The sequence below is a fragment of the Homo sapiens genome, chromosome 1, assembly GCF_000001405.40.
Source record: "Homo sapiens chromosome 1, GRCh38.p14 Primary Assembly".
NCBI classification, from domain to species: Eukaryota; Metazoa; Chordata; class Mammalia; order Primates; family Hominidae; genus Homo; species Homo sapiens.
This window is the reverse complement of record NC_000001.11, coordinates 40,783,523-40,801,147: the sequence shown is the minus strand read 5'-3', so window position 1 is coordinate 40,801,147 and position 17,625 is coordinate 40,783,523. Positions and strand designations below refer to the sequence as shown.

General features: G+C 56.5%; 1 protein-coding gene across 3 annotated transcripts in view, besides 1 other annotated feature; it reads right to left on the bottom strand.

Moving 5' to 3' along the window:
* Positions 1-17,361, bottom strand: part of KCNQ4 (potassium voltage-gated channel subfamily Q member 4) — a 56,666-nt gene extending 39,305 nt beyond the window's left edge. For all 3 annotated transcript variants that reach the window (NM_004700.4, NM_172163.3, XM_047434057.1), the window contains exon 1: positions 16,741-17,361. In NM_004700.4, the coding sequence (NP_004691.2) occupies positions 16,741-17,054 (314 nt within the window). In that variant the 5' untranslated portion in view covers positions 17,055-17,361. The remainder of the gene's footprint in view (positions 1-16,740) is intronic.
* Positions 12,734-13,233: an enhancer, noted in NCBI's record as "H3K4me1 hESC enhancer chr1:41253587-41254086 (GRCh37/hg19 assembly coordinates)". NCBI's record gives its function as "activates a minimal SCP1, AML or CMV promoter by ChIP-STARR-seq in primed H9 embryonic stem cells {active_cell/tissue: H9 hESC(primed)}" and the evidence as "EXISTENCE:reporter gene assay evidence [ECO:0000049][PMID:30033119]".

Here is a 17,625-nt window from a genome sequence, read left to right as displayed (position 1 = left end):
TTCCAGCCCCCTATCCCCACCTCCAGTCCACTTACCTTGCAGTCTGAATGCCTCTTCCTCAGCCCCTACCCCATTTACAATCCTACAACAGCTTCTTACTGTTAAAATAGAAAACCCAAGCTCCTTAGACCAGCGTTTGAGGCTGTACACACATCCTAAGCACCAGCGACACTCGACTTCTCCACTCCCTGTACATTTCCACCTTGGTGGCTTTTGTACTGTCTCCCCTTCTTGGGCTGTCTCTCTTCCACCTCATCCATCCATGATCGGCTTTGAATAGAGGAGCTTCTTTAGCCCCTCGTTAGGATTCCAGGGCCCCTGTGGGCCCCCTCAGGCACCCCTTCTCACACTATTCTACAAGAGGGAGAGTGTTCCTACCCGCTTACTCCTCACTGAGATCCATCCCTCTAGGGCAAGGCCAGTCTGGCTCCTCCACAACCCCCAGGCTGGCCCCAGCTGATGCTCAGACAGTATCTGGGGAGTGAACAGAAAGATGCAGTCACCAGGGCCTTGAGTTTCAGCGAGTGGGACTTCCACACTGTCCTGTGAAGCCTGAGAGTTCTGGGTAAGGCTGTCTTGGGGTTGCTGCAGAGGTAGGTGGGTGGGTGGAAGGAGGATTGATGCAAGCTCACCCCTAACTCTGGCAGGACTGGGGAGAGAGTATAAATGGAGACCCACATACCATAAGTCTAAATATTTAAAAGTTTCAATCAGGTTAACAAACTTTTAAATAAAATTTGCTCTATCCTTCCTGACACATATACCTTCATAATGACCTAGAAGACCAGGTTTGAATTTTAGTTCTTGGATGCCTTGGAATCCCATGCTGGAATCCAGCAGGGAAGGGACAGCCAGCCCCTTGCTACCCTCCGATCCTCAGATTCTCTTCCCACACTGGGCCCATCCCTCCCTGGGAGGGGCCTTGGGTACACTCCTGGGGGTGCCTCAGCCTGCTCTTCCGGGCTTTTGCTATACCCACTACAAACAGCCGTCCTTGAGCCTAGGGCTGCTCTGACAGCCCCTGGGAGAAGGGCCTGTGCAGACCCTGGAAGTAGGCATAAGTATTTGGCCAGGGAATTCCAGGGTTACCTGGAATGTGTTCTAGAGCAAGGAGGACCATGTACAGGCTCTGGGTTGATATGCCAGGGCCATATAGGCTGGCATAGAGTGGGTAGAATTCTGGGCCCCAACCCGTGACTCCACCCAGAGTAGCCCTACTTTGATCTGTTTTATATATTGTGCTTCTGTATCAGGTGTCATTCAAAGAACCAGATCTATGACTTGAAACAGTTTGAAAAGCTCTAATCTAGATCCTGCCTGCTACTGAACATGGGAAGCTGAGGTTACCGGGAGGCCAGTGACTGCATTCAGGCAGTGGGTTGGAGCAAATCCAGGGCACAGTCCCAGGCCTCCCTCGTGGAGGCCAAGGCTTGGGAGCACGTTTCTGATCAATAAGACCTAGGGCCTCCAATGGGACAGGCCACCAGGAGGTGGTGAGTGCTCAGTCCCTGGTGGGGGCCAGTGGGCGTGCTGCCAGGGCCTCCTGCCATGACCGGGGGCTGGACCCTCAACTCAGGTAGCCCAGCTCAGGAGTGGAGAGGCCAGACCAGGCCAGAGAAGGAGAGGGAGTCCTGGTATAAACAACCGTGGGGGGACCAAGATGTTTTCTTGTCTCCCAGGCGACGGCAGTGTTTACTGCCTAGCGAGGGGGGGGGCATGGCCCACACATTTGCCTCCCTGACTTGTAGCCAAATTTTTCCAGGAAGGGGTGGCCCAGGATGAGCCCCAAACACTCCTGCTCTGCACCCCAATCATCTTCCCTCAACTTTGCCCCAACATGTGCCCTAAACCTCCCTGACATCGCCCCCATCCTTCAGTCCCACATGCTATGTAGCACTGCACCTCCATCAGTCCTGAATGCCCCAGCATTGCCCCCTAGCTCCTGATTCTGCTCACAGAGTAGGAGGGTGGGGAGCAGAAGCAGGACAGGGGAAGGCCCCAAGCAGAGGAACTGGGTGTATGCCAGGGATCTGAGCTGGGGCTGCTGGGCATGGGGCAAGGACAAACCTCTCCCACGGCCCTGGCCAAGACAGAGGGAGGGCTGCAGCCCTTGGATTAGGAGAGTGCAAATCCCTCTCCCCAGCCAGGGCCCACCCCATGCCTGTCATGTGAAGGGCATTAGATGACCAGACCCCAACAAGGGAGGGGCTGGCAGGTGCCCACATGGTCATGCCACAGCCAGCTCCTTTGCCCAGGCAGCCAGGCCAAGGAGAAAAAACCCTTGATGCAGGAGGGCAAGTGGCAAGGTCCCCTTCCCCCACGGGCAGCAGCTGCAGCCAGGTCCAAACACAGGGGCACAGGGGTTGGTGTGGCTTGAGTTCCAGCCAGCAGCCCAGCCCAGCTTCCACATATATACACACACCCTGCCCAGCTGACGATGGGTCTCGTTGAGACACCAACTGATTTTCGCTGAGAGCGCAGGCTCAAAAATGGGGCTGTGTCCATCAGGGATCCTAGACAGGCATCTGGACCCCTGGAGTCCAGCCCTAAGTCAGCAACTTCTCAGCTGAATGACCTTGGGCAAGTCACTTCTCCTTTCTGAGCCTCAGCACAAAATAGCATAATAGTATCTTCCTCCAGGGTTGTTACATGAATTCAGTGGGATTCATTGAACAAACAATAAGTAAAGCCCACAATGGGTCCAGCATGCCTAAAACGGCTTTGTGGACTGTCAGTGGGAGAGAGGACCTCCTTCCCAGTACAGGTAGTATTTTGGACCTCGAGCTAAGGCTCGAGATGTGAAAAACGTCTGCCCAAGACCATCCAGAGGGTGCCTAAGCCCAGGCCAGCCCCTGGGAAGCTCTGCAGAAAGGTTTTCACTGTTATTTATCATCATTGGAGACAACTAAGATGCTTGGACTGAGCCTGGGTTCTGGTCTGGGCTCTACTGCTGACCTGAGTTTAGTCCCTGCCCTGTTCTGAGCCTGTTTCCCCCTCAGAAGAATGAGGGGGCTGGGTGAGACCAATGATTTCCATACTCTGTTGAGCTTCAAGAAAAAGACAGAGCTGGGGCTGGCTGAACTGCCAGGACTCTGCCCCTTCGCCAGGGTGTCCCTCCATTATCTGGGCCAAATCCCAGTGTACCCTCTTGGAGCCATTATAAGGCCACTATTCTAGGGACCCCCATGGACCCCAAGCTTATATCCCCAGACTCCCTTTCCAGACAGCCTCGGCGCCTGCACCCACCCTCTCTGCTTCCAAGGCCACCCCCACACACCACCAGCTCCCAGCTCAACCACACACATCTCCCCCCAAGCCAGAGTTTGCATAAGCAGCTGAACTTTCCCTATAGGCAAAGTCCTAGGGCTCCGGGTCAGGTTGAGCCAGGCCCTGAGCAGGGTTGGTCAATAGCTCTGGAGGAGGCACTCAGGAGGCTGGACCCTGGGGGGAAGGTAAAGGAAAAAGGGGGACAAGTTGGTAGCATCCCCAGGGCTCCTTGCCAGAGTCCTTACCCCTCCAGCATCCTCCTCGCCAGTCCCAGAAAGGAGTTTCTAAAACACGAATCTGCCATGTTACTCCTGACATCACTTCCTTCCCATCACCCTCTCAGGAAGCTGCAGCTCCCCAGCCCGGTGTCCTCACTGCCGAGCCTGGCCCTGTTGCATCCCAGCCTCTTCTCCAGATACCTCTTGCCTCCTCTAGGATCCCGCTCTTCTGACTTCTTGCTGTTCTTTGCAAATGCCCTGTTCAGCCTCACTTCTGGGTCTCTGCCTGTGCTATTCTCTCTGCCTGAAACACTGTTCCTTGCTCCTTTTCACCTAGCTAACTCCTACTTCTACTCATCTTTCAGTCTCAACTTAAGCCTCTTCCTCTGGGAAGCCTTCCCAGCCATGCCCAGATTGGGGCAGGGCTTGGCCCTCTGTGCTGGGCTCCCACTGGACTCCGTGCTGCCTGGACAGTGGCACTTATCACCCTGCCTGGTAACTGCCAGCTTCCCAGCCCATCTCCCCCAGGGAGCAGAGGAAGGTCTGATTCATTGCTCTGTCCCCAGAGTCTGGCACAGGGCCTGGCCCGGGGAGACTGGCATAAGCAGCTGAACTTCATTTAGAAGTGAAGGTTTCTCAAATGAAAGGGCGAGAGAGGGAAGGAATGAGTCCCCAGGGTAGAATCGGGGTGGGAGCAGGACCTTGAACTGTATTTATTTATTTATTTATTTATTTATTTATTTATTTGATGGAGTCTCACTCTGTCATCCAGGCTGGAGTGCAGTGGCACGATCTCGGCTCACTGCAACCTCTACCTCCCGGGTTTAAGCGATTCTGATGCCTCAACCTCCCAAGTAGCTGGGACTATAGGTGCGCACCATCACACCCAGATAATTTTTTGTATTTTCAGTAGAGACGGGGTTTCACCATGTTGGCCAGGCTAGTCTCGAACTCCTGACCTCAGGTGGTCTGCCTGCCTCTGCCTCCCAAAGTGCTGGGATTACAGGCGTGAGCCACAGCGCCCGGCCCAGGACCTTGAACTTTAAGGCTCAACTTCTCCTAATATCACCCCCCATTAGAAGCAGGCAGACATAGTCCGGGTGAGTTAGGTGGGTAAGATCACAGCCTATAGAGCTAGACTCTTGTGGTTAGAATCCTGGCCCTGCTACATGTACCCAGGCAAGTCACGTAACCTCTTTGTGCCTCAACTTCCTCATCTGAAAAGTAGGCATAATAACAGTACCTACCTCATAGTGTCATTGAGAGGAAAAAGTGATAGAAGGCGTGGCAAGCTCTCAGAGCAGCATCTGGTCCACGGTAAGCACTCAGTAAGGTCCTGCTAGTATTATCTTTGTTATTATTGAGAGCCAGAGCAGAGAGGGAGGCTGAGACTCAGAGAGGGAGGTGACTGCTAGAAGCTAGCCAGCAGGATCGTGTCTCTTGCCTTCCGACCCCAACCCGGTGCCCCTGATGTGCACTGATTACCCCCTCGGCCCCCCACCACAGTCCTGCAAACCGTTCCCACCCTCTCATGTCACAGAATCGTTGCACACTCGGCCTCTCCAGGCACTCAGTTGTCTGAGCTGAGCCCAGAAAACTCCCGTCCTCTTGGGCATTCACCACTTCCTGGCTGTGTGACAAGGGCAGTGTTTCACCTTTAAGCTTCAGTGTCATCTTCCATCCAATGGGGATAATGATAGGACCTACCTCATAGGGCTCTTGGAAGGATTAAATGAAGCAGTGTGAAAAATATTTAGCACAATACCTGGTAGAGATTAGACTATGAATCTTATTACTCAGTGACAAAGTCTGTGCTTAGAACTCTAGCCTGGCTCCAGCTTCGTGCATTCTTTTCCTAGAGTTCCCCAGGTCTCCAGCCTGGGCATCTCTGAGCTGTCCTCCAGGGGAGCCTGAGGACAGGAATTGCTAGTGTGGCCACCCTGCTTTTACAGGGCCTGTGTCATTCCACCTGCCCCGCTCCCCCATATGTCTCTTCCTCAGGGCTCAAAGCAGTGCAAGTGAAAAGTGAAAGTGAGATGAGGGGCCCAGGACCCTAGAGAAGTGGGATCCTCTGATGGCAAGATAAGAACAGTAAAACCAGGGCTGGGTGCAGTGGCTCATGTCCGTAATCTCAGCACTTTGGGAGGCCAGGGTGGGAAAATTGCTTGAGCACAGGAATTCGAAACCAGCCTGGGCAACATAACAAGATCCCCTCTCTACAAAAAATTTAAAAATTAGCCTAGCGCCGTGACGTGCACCTGCGGTCTCAGCTACATGAAAGGCTGAGGCAGGAGGATCGCTTGAGCCCAGGAGTTCAAGGCTGCAGTGAACCATGATCACACCACTGCCTTCCAGCCTGGGTGAAAGAGTAAGACTCTGTCTCAAAAGGAAAAAAAAAAAAAAAAAAGGTAAAACCACCACAACCCCCCTGTTCTTCACAGCACTTTGCAGTTTACCAAGCACTTGCTATAGGAAGCAGCCCCGTGAGGTGAGCAGGGACAGATGGCAATTGTCATTCTATGTATAAGGAAGCTGGTGCCTCAGAGAGGTTGGGTCACCTGCCTGGCATCACACAGCCTCCAGGAAGCAGAGGCAGGAGCTGAGCCCAAGCCTGCTGCCTCCCGGTCCAGTGCTCCTTTAACTGAGGGGTGAGCCCTTGATTCTGGCTGATCTGCCCCCCACCCCCCCACCCGCCCAACCCAATCTTAGGAAAGAGCCTTGGGTTGGTCCTCACTGCAAAGTGCGGGACCTGAGGCTCCTCTGTCCCCTGATCCCTCTGTCCCTACCAGACCCCTCCCTCTTCTGGCTCCACAGCTCAGTGGGGAGGAGCCGGGATGGCGCCCAGACTCAGGGATTTCACGCACCACCGGTAAAATTTCCAAAAACACTTTGGGGACTGCATAAGGTTGTCAACTTTTTATTTTGCCAAGCAAGGACATTTTTTTCCCAGCCCATCATTTCATAAAAGAAAGGACATCATCTCATACTAAAAGACAGTCCTTTAAGTGGAATAAATTTAGCTTTATGAAAGAGTCGCCACCCCGTCCTTATTCTCCTCAGTTTTGCCTTAGGCCACTGGAAACTGCCTTGGGTCAGCTGGCGAGGCTGAGAACCATTTAGAGCTCGGGCTTGGCCCTGATGCCGACATGGGTTTGAGTCTTGACTCGACCACAGACAAGCTGTGTAACTTAGTATGTGGTGTTTCTCTTCTTTGAGCCCCAGTTTCTTGTCTGCAAAATGGGAACAATAATAGTGCCTGCTACCTAGCGGGTACTGGAAAAAATAGATGACCTCACGTCTGCACAGCACTCACTCAGAAAGAGTCAAACCCTGGTTCCCATCCAGTGTCCCCACCCTGGCCTGTCACCGTGTATGGCTCCCCACTGCCCACAGGGTAAGGCCCACCTCCACAGCCTGTCAATCAAGGCCCTGTGCTCTGCAGGTCTTGGGGCAAAGGAGTGAGGGGAAGGAAGTCCCATCTCAAGGCCTTTGCTCTGCTGTTCCCTTCACCTGGAGCTCACTCGGGATAAAAATCATGAACACCCACAGCTCAGTGCTCCACACAGAGGGCTGAGGGGTCTTTTCTCCACTTCTCTCTAGTTGGCAAAACCCTTCTCATCCTTACTACTTGGCCCCAATGCCACCTTCATCAAACATTCACTCATTGCTGACCATGTGCCAAGAATTGTGTTCAACCCCCACACACCCAGTTCTCATAGTCCCATGCAGAAAAGCAAAAAACGCACAGGGCTGGGTGAACAGAACTCTGGGGGCACTGAAGGGCCCTCAGTTGAGCCTGGGGGTAATGGGGATAGGGAGTGCTTCCAAGAAGAGGTGGTGCTCAAACTGGGAGTTGAAGGATGAATAGGAGTTAGCTAGATGATGCAGTGGGCAGAAGAGGGGAGGGAGTTGCAGGCAGAAGGAAAAGCACAGAAGCACTAAACAGCGCAATGCTTTGGGACACTGTAAGTCATTTCTTAGGTGAGAGCAAAGGATGCTTGTGTGGAGGGCATTTCTGACTTGGGCACTGGGGATCGGGGAGTCACTGTCACATGGATTGAGGAAGGAGGGCAGGTTTGGAGGGAGATGCTGAGTTTGAGATGCCCAGGGAATGAGGAGGAGAGGTGTCAGCAGGCAGGAAGCGCAGGGATGAAACTGCAGAGCGGAGGCTGTCATCATAGGGGTGACCCCTGATGTCGTAGGAGTGCATGAGACCACCCCCTGAAACTATGTACTGTGAAGAGGACTTGAGACAAAGCCCCAACATTCAAGGGGCAGAAAGAGGAGGCAGAGCTGCTTGCTGATAGAACCAAGAGAGAAAAGCCACAGAGGCAGGTTTGAGGAAAGCCAGGGGGGTTGCATTCAAGAAGGAAGGGCCCAGCAGGCAGCCATGGTGGCTCCCGAGGCCACCGTGGGAGGATCGCTGGAGCCAGGAGTTGGAGATCAGCCTGGACAACATAGCAAGACCCTGTCTCCACAGAAAAATTTAAAAACTAGCTGGGTGTCTTGGTGTGCGCCTGTAGTCCCAGCTCCTTAGGAGGGTGAGGTGGAAGGATCACTTGAGCCCAGGAGGTTGAGTCTGCAGTGATCATAGTGATCATGCACTCCAGCGTGGGTGACAGAGTGAGGCCCTGCTTCAAAAAAAAAAAAAAAAAAAAGAAAGAAAGAAAAGAAAAGAAAGAAGGGCCCACAGGGGCCCCTTGGGGAGGCAGCATGGTGGAGTGGCCAAATGCATGGCTCCCAGAGATGCACATGCTAGGTTCAAATCCTGCCTCTACCACCTGTCAGCTATGTTGACTTTGGGCAAGTCATTAACTTCTTTACACCTTAATCCCCCTGTCTGTAAAATAGGGCGAATGTATTTTTTTAGGATAAAAAGCATATAGGGGAGGGATTGATACCCCCACCTAGCCTCTGTGCATCCCCAGGTTGTACCTCCCTTCCTCTGCTGGGCCATGGGTCACACTGTCCTTTCCCCGTCCCCCGTCTCTCCCACCAGACTGCCACCAATCCCCAGAGGCTGGAAAATGAGATGAGTGAATGAGTTCACCCAGGGAACGGGCAGCAGGGAGGCAGCATTTCTCCCATGTTACTCCATAAGGAGGGAAGGTGGAAAAGGCCCCCGTGTGGGCTGTGCCCTTGAGCCATCAGGTCCCTTCTAGCCTCAGTTTCCCCACCTGTGAAATGAAGCCCGTGGATCTGCTCCAGCGCTGAGACCTGAGGTTCTGTATAGCAGGGATATATGGAGAGAGGATGGGGGTAGAAAGGCCTAGTCCCTTCCTGCTGGTCCTGCCTCTAAGCGAGGAAGTTCCATAGGGTCTGAATCCCCACTGTGCCCAGGGGCTGGTCCCTCCAGTAGAGGGTGGCAGCTGGGCCAAGACGGGCAGTAGCGAAGGCGCCTGAGATTGTGCTGACAAAGCTGTTCCTGCTTTTCCTTTCTCTCCCTGCCCCCTCCCCTCCCAGGGGACAGCCAAGCCCAGCAAAAAATAAACCCAAAGACAGCAACCTGGACAGGCCCGAGGCTCCCAGAGAGAAGTGGCAGAGAAGGAGGAGCAGCCTGTGACCCTCCCACCACTGCCCAAAAGCCAGTGGGTACCCGATCTGATCCCTACCCCACCCCCGACCCACACCCCGCCAAAGTTGGGCTCAAAGGGAACAGGCATCTCCCCTCCATCTTTCGCTCTGTGGGAGTAGGGAGCCATTCCTTGCTTGATAGGGACAATTCGAGTAAATGTTGTCCAGCCCGGCTAGACAGGGGGCTCCAAGTTTTTGAAACAATATCCCAGAAAATCTCATTCACCTCCTGGTTCTTGGGCAGTCCTTCCTGCTGTCTGACCTCCATCTCCTCTGCTTTGATGGGAACCATGCTCCATTTATTTCCAGTGAGCTTTCCTCCAGTCCCACCTTCCCGGCCTGGGTGTCCAAGGAGTCTCAGGAGAATGTGCCTCAAGATTTTCCCTCCATCCTTTAGGCTAGAGACCCTGCTCTATCCACTGTCCCCCAAATCTCCGTGGGGTGAGGAGGGAGGGAATCGCTGAGCTCCTGTTGCCTCCCTTCCTCAGGCGCTGCCCACGGATTCCCAGCCCAATTAGTCTGCTGCCTGGGGCTGCCCCTCCTGTGCCTCATCCCCAGGGCACGCAGCTCCTGCCCCAGGGACAGGGTTGCCCAGGGAACCTGAAGTCCTGGGGGCTCTGTGTAGCCACTGAGGTCGGCTCAGCACCCTTTCTCCAGCCCCTCAGAGCCTCCACTGGGGGCAGGCAGCCCCCTGAGTGCCCTGTGAAGTGGCACCCTGTCACCTGAGGGGCCCCCAGAGAAGATGCTGGAAGAGAGCTCCCTACCTGGTACCCTATGCATTTCAAGGTCCTGAGACAGCAGTCTCTCTCATTTGCCCACCACGACTGTGTGCCAGGCAGCCCTGAGAGGTCCACTTTCCTGTTAGGCCCATTTTACAGAAGAAGATACCGAGGCTCAGGAACTGGGGTGGAGTGGGGGTGGACACCTTCCCAGTAAGCATGGGGACTGAGATCTCTAAATCTCCCTTGGGATTCCCTGCCCTCATTCTCCATGATCATTTGCTCAGGAGAGAGTGGGGGAGTGCCCTCCTCTCCCAGGAGTCCCTGGCTGTCTCTCTGGGCACCATGGCTCTACTTTTATCTCTCGGGGGCCAGGCCAGCTGCCAGGGTTGGACCATGAGGCCCAAACTCGGCCGCACAGTGGCCCTCTGGCATACACCGTCCTCCCCATAACTCACAGACACACTCACAGCTACACACAGACCAGACCTCTCTCCAAACCTCTCCCTGGGAGAAGAAGCAGCTGAGGCCAGTGGTCCCGGCAGACTCTGCGACCTCCTCACAGTGACCCCCAATCCCCCACTCTGCCAGGCAGGGTACAGGCATGGTCTAGCTCTCTCTGGCTCCCTGGTCCTGGTATGGAGCTGATGCTCTGTAACTGTTTGCCAGATGAAGGAAGAAACAAATCAGTGAGCATGCTAGGTAGCCAGGCTGGGCTCCATTCATGAGCTGGGTGACATCCCCTCACCCAGCCTCACTTTGCTCAACTGTGACATGAAGAAGACAGCACCCACCTGATAAGATGGCTGTGAGCGTTACACGAGAGAATGTAAGTCAGACACTCTCATGGGCAGGGCCCACAGGAGGCTGAAAAGACACAGCCTCAGCTCCCATGGAGAACCACTCGCCCCAGGACACAGGCAGACATAGCTCCTATTCTCTCCAGAGCAGACTCAGACACACTCACCTTGCTGAGCCCAGCACACCTACCACACCTCTCCCCGGAGGAGAAGAATGAGGACAGTGATAACAGCATAATAATAACAGTAACGATGATCATGGCTAACAGTGCCCAGCAGTGTTCGGTGCCTTATCTCATCCAGTCCTGACAATCTTAGAGGCAGGTATTATGATTACTCCCATTTTTCAGATGAGAAAACTGAAGCCCAGAGAGGTTAAGTAACTTGCCCAAGGACACACGACTGCTAAGGCTAGAACCAGGAAGGAACGCAGATCTGTCAGCCTCAGAGCCCGTGCTCTTCACTCCCCGCAGGACAGCTTCTGGAGAAACGAAAAGTCCCTGCTATTCCCCCATCCTCAACCTCTCAACTCCCACACTAGGAGCTTCCCCCAGGGCAAACATGCAGAATTCCCTGCTGGGGGGCTCCATAGCCCACAAGAAGATCGGACCTTCCCCAAAGACCCACATTGGTGCTAGGGAGGTAGGAGGGAGTCTGGGGAAGTTCCCTGGGCAGCCTCCTTTGTGGGCAGGGCCTCGGCCTTCCTTTTTCCCTGCTCCCAGGCAGTTCCAGCTCCTTTGACTGGCTCAGAGAGCCTGAAATTAATCATCCACTCAAAGTGCTGCCATCAGCCCAAGAATAATAACCACCTCTTGAAACACTCCTGGCTTAAATATCCCAAGGATAAGGGCTTCGGCAGCAATAGGGATTGAAGTTAGACATCTAGCAGCGCGTCTTCAATGGAAGAATGAACGTACTATGGAGTTGGGGTGGGGTGGGCCGTCAGTGAGAGATCGAACCGGCTCCAGTGACACCAAAGAACTTCAGAAGAAGGAGGCAAAGGAGCGTGAAGGGGAGTGCAAGGAGGAGGAGGAAGGCAGTATAAGAACAGGATGGTCTCCCCAGCTCCTTACAAAGACCAAGCAAAAGGACTAGGGCTGAAAAACAGCAGCACGAAAAATTTGGGTCACACTCAAAGACTTTCCCAATCACAAGGGCAAAGTTCTTAGAGCATCCATCTCCCCTGTTGGCTAGGTTAGGAAAATTGTTATCTAAAGTCCTGATCTGGGAGACAAAAGGCTTGGGTTCCTGGCACAGTTCTCCACTAACTCACTAGGTGTGACCTTGGATGAGTAGCTGCCCCTTTCTGTGTCTTGGTGTACCCAGCAGTATACCCCAAGGTCAGATCAAAGGACCCCCGAGGACCCCCCAGGAGGAGCAAACGCCAGCGAAGTTCTACGAGGCCAGCCACCCCGCTCCTCCACAGTTCTGAGGCTGCCCTCCAAGGTGGCTACACAAATACACACAGACCCGCAAGGGCAGCCCTGCAGTTGTGTATAGGTGAAGGCCAAAAACTCAAGGACAGGAGCAAGCTTTGTTCTGTCCTAGGGGTCTGGGCTGGAGCCACGGGCCCGGGTGTGTGTCCATGGTGAGTGTCTGTGAAGTCAGGGAAAAGGTAGGGGCAGCTGTAAACTAGAACTCTTTTTGTTGGATGGATGCTGTGTGTGTGTTTGTGCATGTGTGTCGATGTTGCAGTGAGTGCATGTGTGAGACATTCAGACAGGTACGCAGCAGTGACGTGGTCTACAACTAAAACGTGGCTGCACTGGGTGAGGCTGGCAGTTTCCACTCAATTCCACAAAATGCCATCACTGCCCACCCCCTGCTGACTGTGTGCGGGGTGCTGGGATGGACGGACAGATGACACAGGAGTGCTGTTCTTGAGGAGCCTGGACTTGGGGTGCTGCTAGCTGAGGCTGTGGTGCTGAGCGCAACAGCTCCCAGTCAGCCCCCGCTCCGGGCTGAGGCTCTTCCACATTAACTGGGTGGCCTCTGCTGAGTCCCAGTTTCCCCATCTGTCAAATGAGGAGGATAACAGTGCCCACCTCACAAGGCTGCAGAAGGACACAATGAGACCGGTTTAGAGAGAGCTCAGCAGGGTGCCCTGTGCATAGTTGGTGCTGCACACACAACCAGAGATTTCATTTCAGACTCCAAGAGCCAAGCCCGGTGGCCACTAGGAACGGAGCGAACAGTCCTGGACAAGGAAGCAGGAGCAATTTCAACTCTCTGCCCTGGCCTAGCCCAGCTGAGGTCTCTGCACAGAGTCCGCTGTATCTGCTACTCATTTCCCAGGTGACTTTGGTCTCCAGAGCCTCAGTTTTCTTACAAGTAAAATGGGGCTGTCAAAATGTGAGGACCGACTGACCTAGCGGGGATGCCTGAGGGTTCTGAGGACACTTTGCTGGGATGATTTCCAACCCAGGCGATGTTCTTTCTCAGATGGCCGGGGTGGGAGGTCGGGGGCTCGGGGGTTAGGAGTCTGCGGGCCCCAGAAGCTGCTGCCACCTCCTCCCCTCCCCATTCCCACAGCTTCTGACCCCACGGACAAGGCTGAGGGAGGATGTTTACAGAGCCGCAAACCTTCACATAGAGAAAGTCTGCTGGGCCCTGGGGGCTGGGAGCGGCAGGCCTGCGGCTCATAGTGGCTGGGGAGGATGAAGGGAGATAGGGTCTTGCTCAGCCCCCTCCAGCACTCTGACTTCAAGGGAAGCTGGAGTGGCCTTTGAGAGGGGGCAGCAAGGGGACAGCGAGCATTCCCCATAAGGGCTCAGCGAGCAGGATGGGCCACGAGGTGGTATTTCTTAAAATTCAGAGAGCAGGGCCTGTGAAGGCTTCAGGGCTTAAATCAGGGACTGGGGCATAGGAGGGGGATGCAGCTTGGTGATCAGACTGAGGGTCCACAGAGAGAGGGAAAGCTTGGAGAGGGGCTCAGTGGCCCCTCATTCTGGATCCCAACAGGAGAAGACAGGAGTCAGCAGTCCTCTCTTCCCAGAGCTTGCAGCTGCCGCAGGACAGGCCAAATCTGGGCTTGTACTCTAGGCAATCTCCCACCTTTTGGAGCCAGAAAGATGCAGGTTCTGTGTGGGGCTCAGAGGGGACGGGCTGGCAGATGGGAGGGAGGCATACCCTAGGGCGAATGCGCTCCTCTCACCCCAGCTCCCTCCTTCCTGAGCCCTTCTCTTTCTCTCTCTTTTTTAATTGATAGGGTCTCATCCTGTCACTCAGGCTGGAATGCAGTGGTGCAATCACAGTTCACAATAGCCTAGAATTCCTGGGTTCAAGTGATCCTCCCACCTCAGCCTCCCAAGTAATTGTGTCTACAGGTGTGCACCACCATGCCCGGCTAATTTTTAAATTTTGTAGAGTCAGGGGTCTCACCATGTTGCCTAGGCTCAAGCGATCCTCCCACCTCAGCCTCTCACAGTGCTGGGATTACAGGTGAGAGCCACTGCGCCCCGCCCAGAGCCCTTCTCTTGCAGGCTCTTCTGCTGGGGCCCCTCCTGCCACAGCCTGCGTCTCTGGGAAGGGGGTCCTAGCTAACAGTACTCCCTGGACTCCCCTCACTTGGGCTGCCACTGAGGCAGATTGGGAAGAGGAGAAAGGATTTGACCCAAAGTGTAATGGTCTGGCTAGGAGTCCAACAGCAGGAAGTACTTCCTGGCAAGACCCTGCAGTGTGACTGAGAAACCCCACATCTGGAGCTCCTCACAAACAGGAGAGACCTTCTGTGTGGGCCCCCTCCTCCAGCCCCAATAATAACAACCGTCTTTCAAGCTCAGACAGGCCCCTGGAGCTTACCAAGCTCTTTCCCACTCTATTACCTCATCCAAGAGAGAGGCCGCAAGGTTGGGGTTTCTACCCGCTTTGACAACCTACAGACCTAAAGCTCAGAGAGGCCCAGCAATCAACCCAACGTCACAGAGCACATAAGAGGTGGGGTTCCTGACACCTCTGTCCCCTTTGACCTCTAAGATGGGTGACCAATTCCCTGAGATCCTTAAACACCAGGACACTTTCACACCATACTTCTTCCCCCAGAGTTCCCAAGACATGCCCTGGCCCTGGGCTCCCGGGGACAAGTGGTCAGGACAAGCACGGCCCTGGCGAGGGCATTTCCTGGCATCAGGAAAGGGCAGGATGTGGGGCAAAGGTGCCAGTGGATTAGCTCCTGGAGAGGAAGGGGCGGTCCTTTCAAAGGAGGCACCAACAGCAGCTGGCCAGGGGACAGGAGGCAGGTCCTTCACCTCCACTGACCCTTGTGGGGGCTGTAAGGCCAAGCCTGGGGGGGTAAGGACCCCACCTCAGAGCCCTATTGGCTTCCCCAGGCCCTGCCATGCCTTGGAAAAGTCCCTTCCCAAGAGGAGCCCACGGAGGGCACAGTTGTTCTCTGGGGGGTGTCTCACCCTCCTTAGGCACTCAAGGAGGCTGCTCTGTAGCCACTCCTAAGAAGTAGTCCCCATCCCCTCACCCCCAACTCCACCAGCCCTGGGCCTTCCTCACTCCAACGGGCCTCTTTATAGCCACAAATATTCATCCTAGGCCTCCCAATGGACACTAAGGACTGGGCTACTACAAACCGTTGACCCTGAACCGAAGCTTGACCTCATGTCCTGAGCAATTTCAACTCTCTGCCCCAGCCTAGCCCAGCTGAGGTCTCTGCACAGAGTCAAGGTTGCCACCCCCAACGCACTTAATGGCCGAGAGAGCCCTGCTGTCTTCCCCCCCTGCCCCTCCCTGTGCCGCATCTTTCTCCCCTTCACCTCTGAAATTATGTGGGCCCAGTTCAGATGGGGCAGAGGCAGGCCAGCAAGCACCCGAGAAACAGGCCGAAGGACAGACCCAGAGACAGGTGGAAAAGACAGGTAGAGGAAGAGTGGACAGTCAGGTGGACAGGTGGATAGGCAGATGCACAGACAGGCACCCGGATAACTGCACAGGCCACAGATGGATGGAAACAGGCAAGCAGAAGGACTGCGGACAGTTAGGTGGAAGGGTGAGCAGACTGGCCAACTCGCACACAGGTGGAAACTCAGGCTGGCAGAGGGACAGCCAGGCCAGCAGGAGGGCTGCTAGACAGTCAGGTGGGCAGGCAGGTGGGCCACCCAGGAGACCCCAGCGCCAAAGGGCCCTCTCTGGTGGCAGCAAAAAGGGATTAATAGCCACACATTTTCCAGGGACCAGAGGTCTCTCTCTGGGCACCTCTGAGCGTCCCAGCGTCAGGCCCAGCCCTTCAACTGATATCTGCGGGGCCTCTCATGTTCCTGGCTGGGCCAGGCCGTACCCCAAGACTGAGCTCTGAGCTGCCAAAATTCACTCTTCACACCCAAGAGGGGTCAGTGTTTTTGAAAGTTGTAGGAGCCTGGTGAGAGGGAGGAGGGGGCCCCAGCAGCGTCAGTGTTTCCAAACCTACCCCTCTCCTCTTTCTTTTTCCCCTGGTGCCTAGAGCCAGGCCTGGTGCTGCCAGCCAACAAGGCAGGCGAGCTGGGCCAAGCCGGCAGGGTAGGGCAGGGCAGGCAGGGCGGCCGCCGTTGCCACTGGGAAGTTGAGGGTGGAGGGGAAGACTGAGCGAAGACACAGATCAAGTCGGACACAGCATATGCGAGTGTCAGGGCCCAGGGGGCCCACAGGGACCCCCACACACCCACAGTCAGCTGGGCAGGGGTAGGAATGAGGGCCGCCCTGGAGAGGAGCACCCCTGAGGGGAGCCCTTCATAGCTCAGAGCTGGGGAGCAGGTGACAGAAGCGTGTGGGAGCCAAGGGTTCCTCTTTGTGTCTGGGACACAGGGAGGCAGGGGTGGGGAAGAGGAAAAGGGCGCCCACTCCAGGGGCCCCAGACTTCGCCAAGCGGACTTGGGGGAGGCAGCTGGCGGTCGGGAGTACCTGGGACAGAGGAGCAGAGATTGGCGGTCAGGATGGAAATAAGCAGTTGCGGTGCGGGGAGGTCAGAAGCGAGGTCAAGCAGGGGTCAGGCCTGGGAGATCAGGGCTTAGGGTCGGGCTCAGCGAGGGGATCAGAAACCGGGCTTAGGCCTGGGGGGAGAGAGATGAGGGTCGGCCCTGAGGCAGGGGGGTAGAAGGCGGAGCCAGGGCGGGGCGGCCGTGCCCCGGGAGGCCAGGCTTGCGCGGGGAAACGCGGAAGGGCGCGGGGTCGCAAACTCACATGAAGACGTGGTAGACGAAGGCCCAGCCGCGGGGCCGCTCCAGCACGTTGTAGACCCAGTTCTGCAGGCGGCGGTAGCGCTTGTGCGCGGCCGAGGAGCGCTGGCCGCAGGCGGAGCCCGAGCCGGAGCCCGGCCCAGGGAGGGGCGCGCCCGGCGGCAGGGGGCTGCCCAGGAGGCCGAGGCGGCGCGGGGAGCCGCCCCCGCCCGCCTCGCCCTGTTCGCTCTGCACGGCCGTGAGCGCCACTAGCTCCGCGCGGGGGGCGTCCCCGGGCGGGGGACCCAGGCCGAGGCGGCGCGGGGGGGCCTCGGCCATGGGCGGCGCCGGGCTGGGGGCGCCGGGGCCCGGGCACGGTCCGGGGCGGGGGCGCGCTCGGGGCGCTCAGAGACGCATGGCTCGGACCCGGGGCCAGAGGGGCGACCCGGGGCGGGCGCGGGCGGCGGGGGCTAGGGGCCGGGCCGGGGCCGCGGGCGGGCGCTCGGAGCCTGGGGGCCGCCGGAGCCCGCACTGACCTCCCGCTTCCCCGGCGACTGGGGCTGCTCTTTCCGACTCCAACTCTCTTATTACGCGCTCCATGCCGCTCGCCTTTCCACCTGCCACCGGCGCGCGCCGCTCACATGTCACCCTCCCCCGCCCCGCCCCTCCCCCGCCCGCCCCGCGGCCGCCTTCCCAAATCGGGAGGGAGCGAGCGAGCAAGCGAGGCGAGGCGGAGGGAGGGAACGCGCGGAGCAGGCGGCGGGGCAGGGCGCACGGGCGGCCGAGTTGGTGCCTGGGCCGAACCGCGTGGCGGGGGCAGCGCGCGGGGCCGGGAAGCCGGACGCGTGCAAGTGGTGTCCACCGCTGCGTGGGGCAGTGTGGCCCCGAAGGCCAGCCCGGGGTGGGACGC